Consider the following 16,791-nt stretch of genomic DNA (forward strand, 5'->3'; position numbering starts at 1 on the left):
AGCACTAATAAATAGAAGGGAGTATATCTCTTCTCTCTACCTGTTTCAATATCCTTTCTTCTGTAGTTCCCCGCTAGTGACAAAGGGAATTGGGTGACAAAGAAAAAATGCAGTCTTCGGAGTCCCAGCCTCAGTGTCACAAAGCTCAGATTACAAGGGTAAACAAAGGCTTTATGACTGAAATACACTTAAAAATGAGATTATTGTAAATGTAGACATTCTCAATGCTCTCAATGTATCACATTGCTCTCCTTCTCCCCGCCCTAGAATAGAGTGAACAATTCCTCACCTTTTCCCTGGAACTTGCCTGGTTTTAGCACTGAAAGCTCTGACTGCACCGAAATCCCTTTGTCCTGGGTAAATTAGGATGACTGGCCACCTTATCTTAGAAATTTCTAAATATGGAGAGGGAAATTGACAGATTGGGAGGAAAACAGAAAACAAATTTTGCTGTAAATAGTTCTATATACTTTCCTAGCTTTAATTTGTCATTTTTTAAAAAAAGAAGTGATAATTTGGGATTCTCTATACATCCACTTATCGGTAGGTTCACTCCCCCTTGTTTTTTCCACTATTCTTGTTTGTAGAGGACCACAAAGAAAACAGTGTAGGAGAATGTGCAAGAAGTAAAGTTTTAACTCTGCCCTCACTTGAGTGAAACTGCAAATTATCACTACCTGACTAATACCTGGAGTTGATTTCTTCACATACCAAAAAGCCAGACAATGACAGTCCACTGTATGGTAAAAGCCAGAACTTTAGGAACTGAACATCCCAGTCTCTAAGTTGGATTACTGTTGGAATTATTAGATTAGGCAAAATTATACTAGTTACCACATTATCCATGGATGGCTTCTCCCTTTCACTGTGCTAAAAGTTAGTTTTCCAAGAATTAGAAGTTCAGCTAGAGCATGTCAACATAAGATATTGGTATTTTCTGTGGGAACTGGCAAGATGTAATGTTCTTGCCCGCCTGGTTCATGGTGAATACTTCAGGGTGCCATCCTGTATCTGAGCTATCATTTGACCTCTCTACCAGGCATCTTATGCCATTTGAAGCAAATTACAACCGAAAAAAAAACGTTTTTTTCATAGTTAAAACTGTTTTTCACTTTTGATTTTATTTGCCTTCAGAATATTTTTAATGACATTTGAGCCTCTTAAAAGTCTGGATTTCTTACTATATTGTCAACCTCAGTTCCTACTTCTCTGCTTCTACATTCTTGGTCATCTGGTAGTACTAATTCAAATATTGTATTAATTAAGGTGAAAGCTAATTTAGGATAGTTATAACAAAAAGACACAAGTAAGTGCATTTCTCTCATGAAACAGTTCAGTTAGTTTTGGATAATTAGGCAGTTGTGCTTTGTGAGATCATTCAGGGAGAGATCCCTTCCATCATTTGCTCTGCCATTGGACGTCATACGCCATCATTGGCCATTGGACTCTGGCGTGGTCCACACTGAGCCGCGAATCATCTGCATTTTGGTCTGTACAAAAAGAAAAATGAGATGAAATCCCAGACAGTACTTTCTCTTAGAGCCAGTGAGGAAGCTGCACAAATCACTCTTCATAACATGGGAGGTCGGGATCTGTAACAGGGAGCTGGGAGGCAATTGCACTTACATATTTCAATGTCTATTCAAATAAGAGACCATGAAATTCTTAAGATGAGTGTAGAGTTTTATTCATTTATGTAGTTTCTAAATTTTGCCCATGGTAGGTGATCACTTCCTGTTACTGAATTGATTTGAATAGACTACATGCTTGTGACAGATAATTAAGTACAGAGATTATAACAACCCCAATTTTACAGATGAGGCCCTGAGGCTCTAACAAAATCAAATGACTTTCTTTAAATCTAGTTCATGATGAAACTAGGAATAGAGCAACCTTTTTGATTTCTGGTACAGTTTTATTAAAGTTAGTCAAGCAATGCCGTGGGTCTGCTCTGGTATGAAAATCATTAATTGAAAAACTAAACATTGTCTATTTGAATGACATTATGTTTATTGTGTATGGTGGGATTTTTTAAATATCAACATTTAAAGATATTCTTCTGCATCATTTTGCAGCTTGAAAATATGGAGAAACTTATTCTTTCCTAATTTAGCATAATCTTACAACTGCCAATTGGCCTTTTTCTAGTGAATATTGCCAGCCAGAAATAGCACACTGACACTCGAGAGTCTTGAAATTGAGGCTGTTGCTCCAATACACTATGAAAAATGCTACAAAAATAAAGACTAATTGGCTTATAATTCATAAAATGAATATACTAGAAAAACCTAAATACAACATTTGTTGGGAAGGCTATAGAGATGATGCTGAAATTTAACAGAAAAAAATTATGGAAATTCAGTGGTGATTGACTATAATAGGTATAAATAGTTTCTAGAATCAGTCACCCTAGCTCTACTACTTAACAGCACCATAAATTTTGTAAAGTCACTCTTCCTTTCTAAGCCTCAGCTGCCACATTTCTAAAATAAGAATAACTCTATAAGATCAACTTTCTAAAATAATTGATTTAACACTTTTCCTAGAATGGATTAAACAAATAATAAATGATGACTATTATTACTATTATTATAGATTTAGAGCCCTATGAGACATGACTGTAACTATAATAAGATATTGAAGAAGCTTTGTTTAAATTAGCTAATAATTTTGAAGTTATCAATAAAAATGATTTCTAAATTTCAAGCTTTAGCATTTCTAATATGTTTCTATTTTTTTGCCAACATACAAATAAAAATGACATAGTTTTTGAATTAGTCTACATTATGCTTAAGATAGCTAAGCAAAGCATACAAATCCAGCACACTCCAAGGGGAAAACAAGGAATTGTCAGAAGGGGTAATCACATAGCAATGTAGAAATTGGCAAACACTTCAAAAGTGCTGAAAACCAAATACATATGAGATGGCTATTTTTAAAAAGAAGAAATATGAAAACATTTTTATAGCCAAAATTTTAAGAATAAGATAAATGAAAAAGAGAAGAGATTGAAAAACAGAGAGAAAACAGTTTTCACTGGTATATATCTGAAAATAAAGCATTTTTATTATCTACTACTTTTACCACCAAACTAATGTCAACCCTCGAGCAGTAGGTTCCTTAACAAAATAACAGCCTGAAAGAAATTTTGACTTAGAGAGAGGACAAGTTTCTTCAGATAGCTTTGAAACTTACTATTGGTTGAGTTTTTGAATGGAATAATGTTATTTCTGCAATCAGTTGAGCTAAATGAAAATTATATATCTATTTGAACCACCATAGAATTACGGGAGTTAACACTGATAAACTCTGTCACATGTAGTTTAGGGTTTAAAGGAAAGATCTCCAATGGGTTAATTATGAATACTTTATGGAAATATTTTACAAATGTAGTTTGTAATTACAGATTTGAGATGACACTCAGAAAGCTGGATCCAAAGTTAAAGAGAAGTGTAGACATGAAGCCCCCATAATTATTTCTTCTTAAAACTCGAATTGCATTTTATGCCATTTCAGTCTGTCATGTGAATGTCTCTGTGATTACATTTTCATCTTTTTAATATATGAATGAAATAACATGAATTTAATTAATTTTCATATTAGTTGCATTTGTGATTTTTGAATAAAATCTAAAAACAGACATATCAGAACCAGGTTTTCTTTAAATGTAAATATTCTAATTAAAACATATTTGAACCTATTATCGTTTACTTCTGTCTAGAATAGGAAAATAATCTAGTAAAAAAAGGGAAATGTAAATTAAGAATAAATTGTTCTGTGTTTCAGTGAAACTTCATTTCATTCCAAAAGAGGGATTGTGTTCATATGCAATCTTTCATAGGCTTATATACATTTTTATTAATTTTTTTCTTATATCACTAATTCATTTCACCCTTTACTGATAAGTTATTGCCTAGTTGTTCAAGAAAAATCTTGAAACATATTATGCAAAGGAAACAAACAATATGATTCTATCACATAGAATACAAAATCTGAAAGATGGATTATATGAGCATTCTTCAGTTAATTAATTAGTTTGCACTTTGACCCTTAAAAATTTAAAGTAGGTGTTGAAAATATTAAATAGTTTTAAATCAATTCCTAAGGCCACAGTAATCATGCATAACAAATGGCCACAAAACCCCAGATAACTATTACAATGTGTATATTGCTCCTCCATCTGCAGTAATCAGCTACGCAGTACTGCTGTTCTCAATTGGATCAACTCACATTTTTGCATGTTAGATGGCTGTTAACATACACTGGGGTGACTGGGCTGAGTCAGCTCAGCTCCTCATCTTTCATCCTGCACCAGGCTAGCCTGGCCACACTTTCATGACTGCAAGGGCAGAGGCACAAGAGAAACATACATTGTCTTTGAGGCATAGAGCAAGGATAGTACACAATCATATCAACATCTTATTGGCTAAACAAGTTAAAAGGCTAGGTTAATTTCACAGTTCCGGAAAACTTCTGACTTTTTAGTTACAAGGACCACAGAGTCACATGGCAAAGGGTATGGAACCAGAGGAAAGGAAAGGATTGCCTCCATTTTTAGAATCTATAATTATTTTCATGTTTTTAAATCAATTTCTTTTACACTAAGCCAATCAAATTACCTACGTGCAGAAATTATTCTATAAACAGTTAACTAATGTGTATATCTGCTTTGTATTTCTGAAGTACGAGGCAATTATACTTATTTCCCAAACAAAAAATTTCTACTTAGATTACTTTGATGATCATATTTTACCACTTCTGAAACAAGTTGAACATTAACAAATTAAATTTTAATAAGCTATTGAATCTTTTGTGGTTCTTATATCACATAATGCAGAAAAGCTTTCCAGTAACATAATAAGAATCTTTCCACTTAGCCACTTTTCCAAGGGAAATAGAGTCACAGACATAATTAGGTAAGAACATGTATATGCCTCTATGGGAATTCATAAAAATTATAAAACCAGGAATGTGAAGTGCAAGTAAGCATTAAAATCTACTTCTCTTCAACGCAGTTCTTCAGAATATAATTATGAATTCTTTAAAGATGTGTAACAAATAAAATTATCCTTAATGTCAAGTCTAGAAAGTATAATCTCCCACATAGACCAGAAAATTAAGTTATAGTACTAATATTTTAATTGATTCTTATTACTTCCTATTTACTCTCTCAAATTAGCTTAATAAAGATCTGCATTTTTAGAATCATACCTATACTAATTCAATCATTTTGCATGGGACAGTTTTTACATATTTGTTGAATATCATTAACACCATTGATTTCTTCGAATGCATTCACAATAAATGACATAATGTTTCCAAAAGTAATTGTTGGCCTAACATAGAGGTAATTTAGACTTTACAAAACAAGAATAATTCAGATAAAATTTTAAAAGAAAAATAATATTTTCTATTTGGAAGTTATATTACTGTTTTAATACAGAATTTAAAAAAAGGTTGGATAGATTTGCTGATACTAGCAAATTTAAGAGTATACATGCTCCAAAGGGGAGCATATTTGTCTTGTTCACCACTGGATTGCCAGAGCCTGGAATAGAGCCTGATACAGGGTATGGGCTTAGTAAATAAGGTTTTAATAAAATATCTATTGACTGAATGAATGATGTTATTATGTAATTGAGTAACATTGTTCCTTGATGACATGGGAATAATTGGCAGAGAATTTTCCACAATGCACATAATTAGAAAATAATAAAGACATACTGTAAGAAAGCCATCAGATCCTTCATAAATTTCTTAAAGATGACATGAATAATCCCAAGATATAGATCAGAGCTAAAAAGAATCCATTTAATTTTCAAGTTTTATACATTTTGCAGATTTCTTTTTAGATTCCTGACTGTTTGAACACTTCATTGTCAAATCAAAATGTTTCCTTCAAGTTACTTTGGCAGGTAAAACAGAACATATTCTTAGATTAAAAATCTAAGACTGTGTTTAACTTCAAGCACTTTATACACTAAGGAATTTGTAAAATTGAAGGGAAAATATATTATTTGCTCTAAACCAGGAACTGCATGCCTGTTAAATTTTCCAAAGAACATCCATATACAATATAACTTAGAAAAGTAATGTATTTTCCAACATTTCAAAATTTGCTATTCACAAGCTATCCTAAAGTCAAGAGAAAGTTATTGTTTTGTTATTATGTTACTATAAATTCCATAGTGTGATTCAATATGTACAGAAATGAAAACACTGAATTTCCTATCATTTAAAAACGGTGTATTCTCTTAAAAAATAAAAAAAAATAAAATTTAAATTTACTACAATATGCCTTTTCTATCCACCATATAATAGTTGTTCTAAGAAACACTAAATTAGAAGTTATATAATTACCTAAATTATACAATTTTACTGTTTTCTTGGGCATATTTAATTTAGAAAATTTTAGAGTATCTGATGGGGGAAGTAGAGGAAGTATTAGGGAAGGGACTAACGGATAGACTCAATTACTATAAATTTTCTACTTCTTAGATTGAGTAGATAGTTCATAATAATCTAACTTCATAACAGTATTGTGCTTTATAATTTATATATATTTTCCATATATATTATGCAAGTATCCAATACTGTTAGTAAATGAAGTTCATTTTCAGAGACAAAAAAAATAGTTAAAATTATTTATAAATGCCAATTATGCCGAAGTACTATCAACTCTAAAAATATCTTGCTAAAAGCACATCAGGAGAAACATTTTTCATATTTCCTTCCTAATGAGAAACAAAATCTTATTTTTTGTACATGAAAAGTCTAAATATTATCTAATCAAGGCTTGAATAACATTGTTTCCTGATTACTTGGGTGAAGTCAGTAGATTATATTCTACAATCCACAGAAGTGAAAAATAATAAAGATATGTGATACATTTATTTCATTGAAAGAAAATGTCCACTTACGTTTTTTTGGTTAAAAATTAAAGGAATTTAAAATTTGGAAAAACGCATTTATTTGAGAAAAATATCTATTATATGACAATCCTTGTTTCTAAATATGAGTTTAACGAAAATATGTGTGTATATATTTTTTAATGTGTATAGCATCATATCAAAAGCAAAACCAAAAGTAATTAATAGCATTTAGTGTAAGTGTTAGATAAACTCAACAATTCACACAGTTATCAATAACTTACAACTGTAAACTACAATATATAACTTAATTCAGTTGTTAAAATGTAATAAGGTGATGTATACACAAAGTATAGAATTAGCGCTGAGACAGAAATAATGTGGAATGGATAAAAATGTAACTGGGTGAAACAATGATAGAAAAAGAATCCATTTCAGATATCTAGAAAATTTATATGCAAAACTCATGTGAAATTAACATCCAATATATTTTTAAAATAAAATTAATTTTGAAAAATTGTAATACTATATTAAAATTATATTGTTAATTTCAATGTCATTCTGGAAAAAACATTGCAACAAAAAATGAAGCATGAATCCTGAAAATTGTTTCATAATGTCCTTTATGTCTTTCTTCTTTCTTCTTATTTCAGAGAATTGGCATTTCTCCATTCTTACCCACTCGTTAACTTACCTTAGACAGATTTTTACTGGTTGTAAGTAAGAAGAAATCAACTCACATTATTTTAAGCAAAAAACAAAAAGGCATTACTAACACCTGTAATGAGTAAGCCAAGAAAAGACATATGATCTTTGATATTTACGGGTCCAGGAATTATACAATATCAGAAGGGGCATCAAATCTCTCTGTCCCTTGATTCTACTTTGTACTGTTTGTGGAAATACCATCAGGCCAGCTCTACTTACAGAGTAAGAATGATGACTACTGGCAGATAGGTAGATGCAGGCTTACATTCCCTCAGCTTGGTTAATCTGACAAAAAAGGGTAGGTATTTTAAGCAGTAATGTAGAAAAGTCCCCAGGGCTAATGTTCATGGCCTTTAGTTTTATGTATATTTCTGAAACAATCGCTGTGCTAGAAACTCTTACTGGCTCAAGACCTAGTTATGGTTTAAAATTGAAAAATATGTTTCTTAAAAGAAAAATCAAATGCAATAACCAAAATAAAGATAAGCATATTCTGGGCTCAAAAGCAACAAATAAAAATGCCTTTAAAGCTTTAGCACCTAATAATAAAACATATACTTTTCCACCACATGTATAAATTTTGAAATGTCCCAGCATTCACCTCCTTCTTTGTATTTCTATCTAGTCTTTCTCTTTTTTCACACCAAAAAAATGTTATTTTTCCAAAATACAGATCTGTACATATCACTGATCATCTCAAAAAACAATTTTATTATTACATACAGAAAACCAAAATCCCCCAAAATATTTATCCAGGTCTTATTTTAACTGTATTAATACAGAGTCACCATAATGGATAAACTGGACCAGATCTCCGTGCTCAGGAATGTTTAAGTCTAGGGAAAGACACAATTTAGCATGCAATTGCACCAAATAGTCTCCACGAAAGGAGAATTGAGAGTGCTATGTTGGCTCAGGGCCAAGAGACAGAATTCAGCACAGGCCAGAAAGCCACTGGGAATGTCAAGAGTAGCATCCTAGGCCGGGCGCGGTGGCTCACGCTTGTAATCCCAGCACTTTGGGAGGCCAAGACGGGAAGATCACGAGGTCAGGAGATCGAAACCATCCTGGCTAACACGGTGAAACCCCGTCTCTACTAAAAATACAAAAAAATTAGCCGGGCGTAGTGGCGGTCGCCTGTAGTCCCAGCTACTTGGGAGGCTGAGGCAGGAGAATGGCGTGAACCCGGGAGGCGGAGCTTGCAGTGAGCCGAGATCTCGCCACTGCACTCCAGCCTGGGCAACAAAGTGAGACTCCGTCTCAAAAAAAAAAAAAAAAAAAAAAAGAGTAGCATCCTAAAAAAAAGTAACACCTAAATTGTCCAGAATGATGAGAAGAAACTACGTTGGTGCTTGTGGGAAGAAAGTGTTCCAGGTTAAAGAAATAGCGGTTCCAGACACCTAGAATTAAGAGTAAAAAAGGTTTATTGGAGGAATTGAAAGGCATTCAACATAGCGGGATTATGGTGTAAAATATAAAGGGATTCGTGGGAGTTGAGAGAAGAGAAATAAAGATAGGTTACAAAAGGATATTTAAATGCTCTGTAATATGGCTTTTGCATGTAAGTCTTTTCAAAACTTATCCTTCATTTATTTCTCATATCATTCTCTTTCTTCCCTTTAGAATTATAAGCATCTGATAAACTGATACAATGAAAAAGATTCTAAATACCTCAATTTTCTTAAATATAATACTTTAGAAAATGAGAGTGTCTACCTCTTAAAGTCAATATGGATTAACTGAGTTAACACAGACAATCTATTTAGGACAGTGCCTGATATATACAGGCATGCCTTTTTTTAATTGTGCTTTGACTTATTTTGCTTGTCAGATATTATGCTTTTCAAACATTGAAAGTTTGTGGCAAACCTGCATCCAGCAAGACTATCAGTGCCATTCCTCTAACAGCAGGTGCCCACTTCATGTCTCTGTTTCACATTTTAGTAATTTTTCCAATATTTCGCACTTTGTCATTATTATCATATATGTTATGTTGATCTATGATCAGTGATCTCTGGTGTTACTACTGTAATAGTTTTGGGGTGCCCCAAACTTTACTCACCAATATAATTCAGCAAAGTTAATTCACACACATTGTGTGTTCTTACTGTTCCATCAACAGCTCATTTTCCATCTCTGCCTCTCCTCAGACCTTTCTATTCCTTGAGACACAATAATATTGAAATTAGGTCAATTAAAAACCCTACAGTGGCCACTGAAGATTCAAATAAATGCAAGAGTCACATTCTCAATTCAAAAACTAGAAATGATTAAACTTAGTGAGAAATATATGGTGAAAGCCAAGATAGATCCAAAGTTAAGCCTGTTGCACCAGTTAGTGAAGTTGTTAATGTAAAGGAAAACTTTTTGAAGGAAATTTAAAGTGCTACTCCAATGAAAACACAAAAGATAAGAAAGCGGAAGAGGCTTATTGCTGATATGGAGAAAGTTTAAGTGATCTGGGTAGAAAATCAAGCCAGCCACAACATTATCTTAAGTCAAAGTTCATTCCAGAGAAAGATTCTAACTTCCTTCAATTCTATGAAGCCTGAGAGGGCAGGAAGCTACAAGAGAAAAGTTTGAAGTTAGCAGAGCTTGGTTCATGAGGTTTAAAGAAAGAACATACAAGCGCAATAACATACAAGCGCAATATGAAGCAGCAAGTGCTTATGGAGAAGTTGCAGCAAGATATCTAGATCTAGCTAAAATCATTGATGAAGGTAGCTAAACTAAACAACAGATTTTCGGCGTACATGAAACAGCCTTCTGGCTGGGCGTGGTGGCTCATGCTTGTAATCCCAGCACTTTGGGAGGCTGAGGCGGGTTGATCACCTGAGGTCAAGAGTTTGAGACCAGCCTGGCCAACATGGTGAAACCTCATCTCTACTAAAAATACAAAAATTATCCAGGTGTGTTGGTGGGTGCCTATAATCCCAGCTACTCTGGAGGCTAAGGTAGGAGAACCACTTGAACCCAGGAGGCAGAGGTTGCAGTGAACTGAGATGATTGGGCCATTGCACTCCAGCCTGGGCAACAGAGCAAAAACTCCATCTAAAAGGAAAAAAAAAATAGAGAGACAGCCTTCCATTGGAAGGAGATGTAATCTAGGACTTTCATAGCCAGAGAAGAGAAGTCAATGTCTGGCTTCAAAGCTTCAAAGAAACAGGCTGACTCTTTCTTTTTTTTTTTTTTTTTACTTTAAGTTTTAGGGTACATGTGCACAACATGCAGGTTTGTTACATATGTATACATGTGCCATGTTGGTGTGCTGCACCCATTAACTCGTCATTTAACATTAGGTATATCTCCTAATGCTATCCTTCCCCTTCCCCCCACCCCACAACAGGCCCCGATGTGTGATATTCCCCTTCCTGTGTCCATGTGTTCTCATTGTTCAATTCCCACCTATGAGTGAGAACATGTGGTGTTTGGTTTTTTGTCCTTGCGATAGTTTGCTGAGAATGATGGTTTCTAGCTTCATCCATGTCCCTACAGAGGACATGAACTCATCACTTTTTATGTCTGCATAGTATTCCATGGTGTATATATGTCACATTTTCTTAATCATGTCTATCATTGTTGGACATTTGGGTTGGTTCCAAGTCTTTGCTATTGTGAGTAGTGCCGCAATAAACATATGTGTCCATGTGTCTTTATAGCAGCATAATTTATAATCCTTTGGGTATATACCCAGTAATGGGATGGCGGGTCAAATGGTATTTCTAGTTCTAGATCCCTGAGGAATCGCCACACTGACTTCCACAATGGTTGAACTAGTTTACAGTCCCACCAATAGTGTAAAAGTGTTCCTATTTCTCCACATCCTCTCCAGCACCTGTTGTTTCCTGAGTTTTTAATGATCGCCATTCTAACTGGTGTGAACAAGGGCCAAAATTGACAAATGGGATCTAATTAAACTAAAGAGCTTCTGCACAGCTAAAGAAACTACCATCAGAGTGAGCAGGCAACCTGCAGAATGGGAGAAAACTTTGCAATCTACTCATCTGACAAAGGGCTAATATCCAGAATCTACAATGAACTCAAACAAATTTATAAGAAAAAAACAACCCCATCAACAAGTGGGCGAAGGATATGAACAGACACTTCTCAAAAGAAGACATTTATGCAGCCAAAAGACACTTGAAAAAATGTTCATCATCACTGGCCATCAGAGAAATGCAAATCAAAACCGCAATGAAATACCATCTCACACCAGTTAGAACAGGCTGACTCTTGACGGGGCTAAGGCAGCTAATGACTTCAAGTGGAAGCCAATGCTCATTAACCATTTCAAAAATCCTAGGGCACTTTAGAATTATGCAAAATTTACTCTGCCAGTGCTCTATAAATAGAAGAAAGAAGCCTGGATGACAGCACATATGTTTGTAACATGGCTTACTGAATATGTTAAGCCTACCGTTGAGATCTACTGCTCAGGAAAAAAGATTCCTTTTGAAATACTATTGTCCATTGACAATGCACCTAAGTGACTCAAGAGCTCTGATGGAAATGTACAAAGATATTAATGTTGCTGAGCCTGCTAGCACAACCGGCATTCTGAAGCCCAAAGTATCAAGGTATAATTTTGACTTTCCAGTCCTATTCTTTAAGAAATACATTTTGTAAGGCTATACTTGCCATAGATAATGGTTCCTCTGATGAATCTGGGCAAAATAAATTGAAAACCTGCAGGAAAGGATTCACTATTCCAGGTGTCATTAAGAACATATGTAATTCATGGGAAGAGGTCAAATATCAACATTAACATGAGTTGGGAATAAAGTTTTTGCAACTCTCATGGGTGACTGAGAGTTTCAAGATGTCAGTGGAGGCAACAACTACAGCTGTGTTTAAAATAGGAAGAGAACTAGAATTCAAAATGGAGCCTGAAGATGTGACTGAATTGCAACAATCTCATAATGTAACTTTAAGATGAGGAGTAACTTTTTATGGATAAGCAAAGCAATTGTTTTCATAAGATGGAATCTAATTCTGGTGAAGAATCTGTGAACAGTATTGAAGTGACACCAAAGGATTTGGAATATTACATAAACTTAGTTGCTACAGCAGTGCAGGATTTGAGTGGATTGAATCCAATTTTGAAGAAAGTTTGATTGTGAGTAGAATTAAACAGCATCATATACTGCAGGGGCATCTTTTGTGAAAGGAAAAGTTAATCAGTATGGCAAACTTCATTGTTGTCTTATTTGTAGAAATTGCTATAGCTAGCCTCTCCTTCAACAACCCAATTCTGATCAGGCAGCAGCTACCAACACTGAGGCAAGACCTTCCTCCTGCAAAATGATTATGACTTACTGAAGACTCAAAATACCATTAGAAGTTTTAGCATATTTTTAAATTAGGATATATACATTGCTTTTCTAGACATAATATTCTTGTACAATTTATAAACTATGGTGTAAACATAACTTTTACATGTACTAGGAAACTAAAATATTGTGTGACTTACTTTATTGTGATATTTGCTTTAATGTGATGGTCTTGAACCAAACCTGCAATATCTCCAACTTATATCTTTAATTGGTTATGTATAACTGACGTTGTTATAACTGAAATCTGTCTTACATTTTTCCATTTCTTTATCTTTGATCAAGTTGCTTGTCTTGGCATGAATTATTTTTCTCCCCATATCTACATGCCATCTCAACATCATCATCTTTAAAAATACCTTTCACATCTTCCAATTTCCATAGCTCATGCTGGCCTCTATTATGTGTAATACTGAATACACACTGCCTTGAGTTGAAATTATTTACATTTAGGTCTTTCTACCTATGACCTACTGTAGATATTCTTCATCTGTGTCCTCCATAGCATGTAGCCTAGCTATGCTAATATGAATGCACATTTTTTATTTCTACTGAACCCAGACATTAGAGGAATATAAGATTCAAAATCATCAGTCACACACAAATATACACAAATACTGAAAATTGATGTAAAAATCTCACTTTTTTCAACCTCTAGTTATAAATGTCTGAAGGTCATAGGGTACATAGGCAGATATATATATATTCATATATATATTCACATATATATTCATATATGTGTTCACATATATATGTGTTCACATATATATTCATATATGTGTTCACATATATTCATATATGTGTTCACATATATATTCATATATGTGTTCACATATATATTCATATATGTGTTCACATATATTCATATATGTGTTCACATATATATTCACATATGTGTTCACATATATATTCACATATATATATTCACATATATATTCACATATATATTCATATGTATATTCACATATATATTCACATGTATATTCACATATATATTCACATATATACATAAATATTCATATATATTCATATATATTCATATATATTCATATGTAATTCATATATATTCATATATATTCATATGTAATTCATATATATTCATATATATTCATATGTAATTCATATATATATTCATATATATTCATATATATTCATATATATATTCATATATATATTCATATATATTCATATATACATCTATTCATATATATTCATATATATTCATATATATTCATATATATATTCATATCATATATATTCATATATATTCATATATATTCATATATATATTCATATATATATTCATATATATTCATATATATTCATATATATATTCATATATATATTCATATATATATTCATATATATATTCATATATATATTCATATATATATTCATATATATATTCATATATATATTCATATATATTCATATATATTCATATATATATTCATATATATATTCATATATATTCATATATATATATATTCCTTTGTGAAAGGAAAAGTCAATCAATATGACAAACTTCACTGTTGTTGTCTTATTTGTTGAAATTGCTATAGTGAGCCCCTCCTTCAGCAACCACAATCCTAATCAGGCAGGGGCTACCATCTTTGAGGTAAGACTTTCCTCCTGCAAAAAGATTATGACTTACTGAAGGCTCTCTCTCTCTGTGTATGTATGTGTGTGTGTATATATATATGTACAAATAATTTTAACTCAATATGTATATATATATGCAAATAAATTTAACTCAAGGCAACCTGTGTTAAGTGCCATATGCAAGAGAGGCCAACAATGAGCTATATGAGGAATGGAAGATTTCAGAATTATTGTTAGATTCTGGAAGATGGGCTGAAATTTATATTTGTATGATCTGTAGTCAAATGATTAAATATTTAAGTCCAGAGTGTAAACTAAATGTAAAGACAGAAAATTACCAGTGATTAAAGAATAAGGTGTTTTTCAGTGCTTTTGGAATGCATTTAAAAATCAAGTAGATAAGAAAATCTATGTGGTAGTTAGGATCTTACTTTGCTACGTTTACTTCCATTAACTGCCATCTAATTAGGAAAACAAGATTTAGTCTAAGGATATATATATATTTTTAACATATAAATTGCCATTTTTCTAAATATAGAAAATAACTCAATTTCATTAATTCAGATTAATTTACTCCTTAAATATTAAATAAACACTTACGTACTACTGTTTAAGTACTGATCTAAACTCTTTCTAAGAATAATTTTATTTCATTCTCAAAAAACCACTCCTACTATTATTACCATTTTACAGGTGAGGAATTTGTCCATATGGATGCTAATCAACTTGCTGAAGCTTATGCCACCAGTAAAAGGCAGAGCCAATATTCCAACCCAGACAGATTGGCTCCAGAATACAAAGTGTGAAAAACACCATGGTATGCTGCTTATGATGTTTAACAATATAACTAAGCATAGAAAATAGGGGTTATAAGTTACTTTTGTAATGTTTATTAATACTTAGTATCTTTATAATGCTACCTACCATAGCCTTTTAGAACTAGACATGTGATATGGTTTGGCTGTGTCCCCACCCAAATCTCATCTTGAATTGTAGCTCCCACAATTGCCACATGTCTTGGGAGGGACCCAGTGGGAATGACCCACATGTCATTTAATTATGGGGACAGGTATTTCCAATGTTATTCTCATGATAGTGAATAAGTCTCAAGAGATCTGATGGTTTTATAAAGGGCAGGTCCCCTGCACACGATCTCTTGCCTGCTGCCATGTAAGATGTGACTTTGCTCCTCCTTCACCTTCCATCATGATTCTGAGGTCTCCCCAGGCATGTGGAACTGTGAGTCCATTAAACATCTTTGTTTATTAATTACCCAATCTCAGGTATGTCTTAATTAGCAGTGTGAGAACAGACTAGTATAACATGATTATTTTATGTGGTGTTAATGACCTACTAGAATGTATTCGATGGATATGGCAATACATAGAAAAAGCTTTTTCATGGCACATAATAGTTTATATCAACTGGTGTATTCACAGGTTTGTTTTCTGTGTAACTAAAAACAATGGATGCTGATATGGTTTGGGTGTGTTCCCACCCAAATCTCATGTTGAATTCTAGTTTCCATAATCCCCACGTGTCATGGGAGAGACCCAATGGGAGGTAATTGAATCATGAAGGTGGTTACCCTCATTCTGTTTTCATGATAGTGAATGAGTTATCATGATATCTGATGGTTTTATAAGGGGATTTTTCCTCTTCTCTTGGCACTTCTCTCTCCTGCGCCACATGAAGGACGTGTTTGCTTCCACTTCCACCATGATTTAAGTTTCCTGAGGCCTCCCCAGCCATGCAAAACTATGAGTCAATTAAAATTCCTTCCTTTATAAATTACCAGTCTCGGGCAGTTCTTTATAGCAGTGTGAGAATGGACTAATACAGATGCATTTTTGAATGTGTGAACTATTGTGAGCATGTTTCAAGCCAAACTTCCTGAACATTATTTTCCAGATAAAAGAAATTATTTCTACTCACAATTTTCAAAACCAAACATTTTTACCTCAAACCTATAAATATAAAATTAATGCTTTCACGTCTTTGTTTTTCTATCATTTTTGTCATCTTTCTGATTGCTGATTTTTCATTTATTATTAAGTTCTCCTCCTTTAACACTTTCATATGCATACTTCAAAGAACATTGTTCCTTAATCAAGACAGATTTGAAATAGTTCCTATTCTGTAGCACACAATGTTCTAGTTGCCTTTTCTTATTGGTAGTTGATGCACAAAACTAGAAGGTAAAGGGGAAAAAAAGTCTGTTTCTTCTGAGAAGCTGTTTAAGAATGAATAAGTACTGAGAAGAAAAAGAACAATGGATAAAG

This window comes from Homo sapiens, chromosome 12, assembly GCF_000001405.40.
Source record: "Homo sapiens chromosome 12, GRCh38.p14 Primary Assembly".
Taxonomy (NCBI): Eukaryota; Metazoa; Chordata; class Mammalia; order Primates; family Hominidae; genus Homo; species Homo sapiens.